The following is a 7162-nucleotide window of genomic DNA, read 5'->3' on the forward strand; positions in this document are numbered from 1 at the left end:
ATTTCTGTGTTTTTTTAATCATAAGAAATTTAGGGAACATCAAAGATAGGTAGGCAGATTGATAGATGGTAGATATAGATAGATAGATAGACAGACAGACAGACAGACAGATAGAGCCAGTCAATGATTTTGAACCAGTATCACTGCTGGAAACATTTAAGGTCCTATTCTGTCAAGAGATAATTCCTCCTGGCTCATGGTTCACTTTTGCAAGTTTAGCCCATGATTCAAAAACAAAACTCTTTGTTGACCTTATGTAGCTTTGTTCATAAACAAGTTACATGAATACATTAAAGGTAATTGGAATGCAATGAAATTCATCAACAAACCAACACAATCATTATGTTACCCCAAGTGGTGGAAAGGTGAACATTAGTCTGTGTGTTAAGTCCTCTGGCTGTATGTGGAAAACATTGGCTTGGAAAACCCTGACCCACAGTGTGTCAACCAAGAAACAGGACAACGTTTGGATCATGTATCTTTCGATTAAATTTGCAGGGAACAGAAAGTCATCTTTTTAATGACAGGATTCCCTTTCTCAAACCCCATGAGACTATGTCTATACAGTTAATGAGGGTAAGTGAGGGGTTCAAGAGAAAAGCCCACCCCCTGGTTGTGATGCCTTTTAATGGCCTGGGTGTGCTATGTACTCGGTTGGAGGGTGCTTGCATTAGTCACGGGCTGCCACAACAAAACATCACAAGCAGAGTGACTGTAGCAACAGAAATCTCCTTTCTCACAGCCTGGAGGCTGCAACGTCTAAGACGAAGGTTCTGACAGGGTTCCATGTCTGGTGAGGGTGAAATGAGGTTATAAGGTTGGAGCCTTGACCCGATAGAACTGGAGTCCTAATAAAAGGGAATGAGACACCATCCCTCCCTCTCTCTTTCTGCCATGTGAGGACATAGAGAGAGGGTGGCCAATTGCAAGCCTGGTATTTTAAAAGTCTTCACCTAGTTAGCTGACCCTATCTATGCTCTCTATCCCTCCCCGTGCTGTGTTTTCCTTAGAAACCCTGGGTTTCCTTGGTGGCTCTTGTTCTTTAAAGCACTTCCCACATGCACATACACAGAATCACACACAGCACACAGACATACTCACAGGCACACACAACATGCACACACACTGAGAGTGACCATTAGCTGCTTAGAGGCAGGTCTTCACCTCTGAACCACCAGTCCCAGCCCACTGAAAATTTACTTAATGATGTGTGGGAAAGCACATTGCTAATGGTCAATTTCTGTACCAATTAAATCCTATCAAATATCCAGCTGAGAATAATACAACACAAACATGGTTCTGCCATTGAATTCCTTCCAGCAGTAGGATTTTTACTCTGATAAGAAAGCATAGTTGTGCTTGAAATTTGCTGAGGGTCGATCTTAAGTATTCTCACTCCAAGAAAGATACAGAGAGAGAGAGAGAGAGAGAAAGAGAGAGGGGGAGAGAGAGAGAGAGAAAAGGAAGGAAGGGAAGAAGGGAGGGAGGGAGGGAAGGAAGGAAGGAAGGGAAGGAAGGAAGGAAGGAAATGGTAACTATATAAAGTAATGAATATATTAACTTGATTGTAGAGATTATTTCACAGTGTATATGTACATCAACGCCAAGTCATACATGATAAATATATACAATTTTCATTTGTCCATTATATCTCAGTAAAAATTTCTCCACAATGATGGGACAGTGCGTCAGGCTGGGCTGGAGTGACAGCAAAGGGCCTGCTCTGCCTGACGTTTGAGCTGACTTCTGTCCCACTTGCTACTCCCACCCTGTCTCCAAAGTGCCCAGTGAGGAGCCATTCATCATGTCCCTGGGTAGTTCCACTGCTGGGAGGGTCGGCGAGTGCCTCGCAGGCATCTCCATTGTTGGGGATGAGGTAGAAGTGTGACTGGGAGACGTGTCCAAGAGCCCAGAAGCTGAAACACCAGTGATGGTATCTGTTTGATTTTCCTATGGTCAATTAGCCTTTATTTCTAAATACTTTGGGGTCACAGTACTTCCATCAAGCAGCCCTTCCAAGCACTGCCCGGCTCTTGAGGACAATGACGGACTTAATGAAGATTGATGGCCCAGGGAACCCCCACTGGGCCCCCTTCCCCACTGTGGGAAGAGGGACTATGCAGAGCCTTAGGGGGCAGATGTCAGCTGGCGGCTGCATCCGCAATTCCTTCTTGCTCAGACCCTTAGCAAAATTGGCTGTCTTACTGATAGCCTTCATAAGCAGGTGAAAAATAGACCCTAATTGGCTTTGTCTCTTGATCCTAGCCCTGCCTGTCTCCAAACACCTTCCACATGCACTGAAGAAATTTTCAAATGCAAATGCAGCCCCTTGGGTCAGGCCCTGGCTTAATTACCTTTTATTACTCCCTTCGGGATACAAATTGAAGCTGGCACATATGACTTCTACAATGAGGCCCTGATCTCTTCTTCCTCACTTCCTGCCCTGCCTCCCTTGGCATTTCAGCAACCCTGAGCTAATCCTAGTTCCCAGCCCATGCCGCCCTGTCTCGTGCGTGGAGACTACGCTCCTGGTGTCCAGGTGCCTGCCAGGAAGCATTTTCCTCCTGGCTGCCTGAGAAGCTATGATCATCCTCTTTTCTTTCCTAAGCCTCTCCTGACGTCAGCAGAGGCAAATCCCTCACTCTGCTGTCATATCTTACGTCTGTCCCTTCCTATGTCTCATTGTTTTGTGTACTACATTGTCCTTGTTTAGACCTTTAGTCCCTTTGTTCTAATTTCCAAAGGGCTATGTGTTTATTATAAAGCAGAAAGTACAGGAATGAATGCGTTTCAGAAGGGAACTGCCCCGCAACTCTGCTAATGCCAATGTGCATTTCAGTTTTTCTGTAATTACCTCTCTGTCTCTCCATGCAAGGGATACCCCTGTGGGCAGGGGGAGACACCTCCCACCTGCTGAAGCCGTGCCCAGGAGCAGTGGGTGGTGCGGAGCTAGGCAGAACAGATGCCAGGAACCTACTTATTCTGGAGATTCATGTCTAACGCCCACGAGCCCCTGTTCCAAGGTCCCCAGTGCCTGTGCATCTGTCCCTGACAGCCCCACCCTCCTACTGATACGGTCCTGGAAAAGGGTAACGTGAGATAAATTTCATGTCACTTTCAGTGCACAGAGCAGCTTTCGTGCTGCAGATGTTTGGCTGGGATAGACAAAGTGAGAACTCTGATTTTTAAACCCACAGGCTCAACCAAGGTGTGTAAACCTAGACCTCTGATGGGGCCGCATGTGGCAAAGAGCAGGGTAGGAAAACAAGGAGTGGTGGACTCTCCCAGAGCTGGAAGCCTGACTGAGCTGAGATTAAATGCTAGGTCAGTCTGATGCCTAAACACATGCCCTGCCCATTGCTCTGCATTGATCCCCACCCAACAACAAACAAGAATGAGATTATTCTGATGGGACTCAGTGCCCGGTGCTGGGGACTGACATGTAGACAGGTTATTGCACAGCAGGGTGGCTCACGTGGTGGCGGCCTCGGTGAGGGGCTGTCAGTTCTTGGGTGGGTCTGTAAGTGCTTTGGAAAGTCAGAGATTGTCTGCAATGTGCTTTCCACACATCGCGTGATCCTTCTGGCCTTTTCTAGGCCAGATGGTCATTAACTTTGAACATATGGGTTATAGTCTTGGCTGAATGTCAACAGTTGACTTGGTCTCAAAGTATCATTCATTTGAAGTATTCAAAATAGAATGCACTTAGTCAACAGGGCTTTGTTTTAAAAGTAAGCAGGTGGAAAATAACAGATCATGCCTTCAAACACCAGCAGAATAATAGCATATGACAGTATGACCTATGTGTCACCAGGCTTCATGGAAATGGTCTGCATGATTCTAATCACTCTACATGCTCTGGCCACTCCAGGATGTGAATAGTTTCTAAATGATGTGCATACTCATTTGCAAGGTCCATGGCCAGCCCAGAAAAATCTCTGCCTGAATCACTGAGGGAGAAGCCAAGAGAACCTGGTTACAGATACAGATTTTAAGAACCGGCTTCATCCCACACTTCCCAAATTGTCCACATGCTTTACAATCCCCAAGTTCGCAGCCCATCTTCCTGAAGGCCTTCTCAATACCCTCTCGCTTCCTCTTCTATTTCTCATTTCCTTTCCCCCTTTAACAGGTTCTGCTGGGAGGAAAATGAGAGCCTGTGGAAGTGAGCCAAAGAATCTTCTGCCTGGGGAACATTCACTGATGCTTCAAGTGCTGGAAGATCTGTGACTCCCAAATGGACCATGCCAAGCTCTTTCCCTTTAATTTCAGAGGCGCACAGTGCAATTTACAGAAAATCCACTCCATGTGTTTCTGATCCATCTCCTAGCAGCTCATCCAAATGTTGGGTTTTAAGGGTTTGTAGATATGCACAATGCATTTGGAGTCAATTTTACAAGCCTTCCATGCTTTCATTTGTATTGAGAGAGGAAGCCCGGTTTTGCCAAGAGTAAATGAATTGGCATCTCCGAAGGTTCATGTTGGGTCTGCACCCTTGAAGCCAGAAGGCTTGACTGAAAGCTCAGCCTCAGAAAAGGTGCTCTCATCCCTGACCAGATGCAGTTTCAGAAGAGAGGCTTTCACCGGGCCACTTGAAGCCTTCCCATCCTTGGCCTCCACATATTTCATGCTCATTCGTTACAGCTTTCCTTGGAGCACAGCAGTGTCAGGACAGAATCTCATAGCCCTGAGGGAGCACATCAGTCATGGTCTTTGGGCGTGGTTGAAATGAAGTTTTGAGCCCAGAACTGATGGCTTTGCCTTCCGGTTTTGAGGTGTTGCATAGGGTCTGGAGCAAGAAGAGAGGCATGTGATGCCCCCCAAAGTTAACAGGTTGAATCAGCCTCCAAACTGTCAATACATATTATCCACAGCTGCTGAGGTTCAGGGCAGAGGGACATGAGTGAGGATCTGAATTCAGCCCTTCCCAACTTAGTGTTACCAGCCTGGAGGAAGAAGGGAAGGCAACATGGTTTTTCTGGAGAGCCATGCACTAGGAAGATAAGAGGGAGGGGAAGCGAGACCACCCCTAGGACAAAGCAGGCTGCACATCCCTTCCAAGGGGGTCATTTCAGCAAGAGTATGGAATGTGCTGCTTAGGGTCTGTTCAGATCTTTTCCTTGGCTTTGTAACAGATACAAAGTGTCTGTGTAAAGAGGGAAACATGTACCTCAACAAGGCAAATGCAAGGTGCTGGGAACCACTCTCATTTGTACCCTAGCCACGGGCCCAAAGGGCAGCTGCCAAATATGGTACAAAGCTGGTGGACTTGGGAGCCAGGTAAGTCTGGGTTTGCATCCTGAATCTACCACTTAGTGGTAATGTGACCTTAGGCAAGTCCATGCACCTCAGTTTCTTCCTCTGTAAAATGGGTAGAGCAAAATCAACCTCTGGTAATTGGAAAGGTACAAGAAAACACACAAAGTGTTTCATAGAGGATATTGTTATAGGGCTGTTAGCAGATGAGTACAGTTCTGCAGCCCTGTGAGCTGGCTAGCTGAGTCAATTGTAGGTGACTCTTTTTCCAATTTGGCCATTAGGCCTTAGTCCTGATAAAGGGAGTCGAGGTGGGGCTTTAAGAGCTCACACAGTGGGTATGTGCAGATCAGGGAAAGATTGTTGGCTTGGGTGTCTGAAACCCTGAGACCTAGGTTTGAGTCTCAGCTTTGTGACTTTAGGCAAGTTGCTGAACCTCTCCGGGCCTCAGCTGCTTTATCTGAATAAATGGGACTTATGACAAGGATTTCATGAGAAAACCCACGTGTGAGTGGATAGAGCACTAGGCAGGGGTCACAAGGCCAATGCTCACATGAGCCAAGCAGGTGCAGGAGCGAGAGCCCACCTATGGGAAGAAATAGGGAGTGGAGTTATGGGGAAAGAGGGTTGGGAGAGGGCACCAATGCCATCACACTACCAGAAGGAACCACACTGACCATGCAGGCTAACCAGAGCAGACAGCCCTGAGGAGCCAGGATGCAACCTCTGGGCAACAGTGCCCATCACTTTACATTCTGTGCAATTATGAAAAGGTTGTGGTCAAGGATGGAAATCTCCGCTGGCTGCCCAGAAGTCAGACAGCTGAGAGAACATCAGAAGAGGCCATTTATCAGAGGGTGCATGCCTCTCTGTCACACTGTGGTCTTGGGCAAGCCCTTTCCCTTGTTCACCCTTAGCTTCCTATCTATAAAACAGAGTGGTGGTGAAGATTAAGAAAGAAGGCAAACACCAGATACCTGGAACATGCTGGGCCCTCAGCAGTTGTTTTGGTTTCTTTCTTCCCCTGCAAAATAAGTCAAACTATTCCGACTTTGTTTCTCACGGCTAGTGCAGGACTTTCTTAATTTCTCTGGCTGGCCAGTGTGGTGGCTCATGCCTATAATCCCAGCATTTTGGGAGGCAGAGGCAGGAGGATGTCTTGAGGCCAAGAGTTCTAGACCAGCCTGGGCAAGATAGTGACACCCCACCCCCATCTCTACAAAATTAAAAAAAAATAGCTGGGCATGGTGGCATGCACCTGTAATCCCAGATACTTGGGAGGCTGAGGTGGGAGAATCACTTGAGCCCAGGAGGTTGAGGATGCAGTGAACTACCATTGTGCCACTGAACTCCAGCCTGGGTAACCAAGTGAGTCACCTTCTCAAAAAAAAAAAAAGTCTGTGTATATATTTATACATATATTTATATATGTTTATATATATTTATATATTTATATTTATATATATTTATATATTTATATTTATATATATTTATATATTTATATATTTATATTTATGTATATTTATATATTTATATATATTTATATTTATATATATTTATTTATATTTATATATATTTATATATTTATTTATATTTATATATGATTATATATTTATATATATTATTATATATTTATATATATTTATTATATATTTATATATACTTATATGTATTATTATATATTTATATATATTTATTTATATTCATATATATTTATTTATATATTTATATATTTATTTATTTATATATATTTATATATATTTATGTATATTTACTTATTCATTTATATATTTATGTTTATATATTTTTATATATTTATATATTTATATGTTTATATATTTTTATATATTTATATATAGCTATATATATTTATATATTTATAGATATATATATTTATACATTTTTA

The 7162-nt window shown here is 44.0% G+C and overlaps 1 annotated feature.

The window, feature by feature from the left end:
* Positions 1791 to 2292: an enhancer, noted in NCBI's record as "NANOG hESC enhancer chr10:48563688-48564189 (GRCh37/hg19 assembly coordinates)". NCBI's record gives its function as "activates a minimal SCP1, AML or CMV promoter by ChIP-STARR-seq in primed H9 embryonic stem cells {active_cell/tissue: H9 hESC(primed)}" and the evidence as "EXISTENCE:reporter gene assay evidence [ECO:0000049][PMID:30033119]".

This window comes from Homo sapiens, chromosome 10, assembly GCF_000001405.40.
Source record: "Homo sapiens chromosome 10, GRCh38.p14 Primary Assembly".
In the NCBI taxonomy this organism is placed as follows: Eukaryota; Metazoa; Chordata; class Mammalia; order Primates; family Hominidae; genus Homo; species Homo sapiens.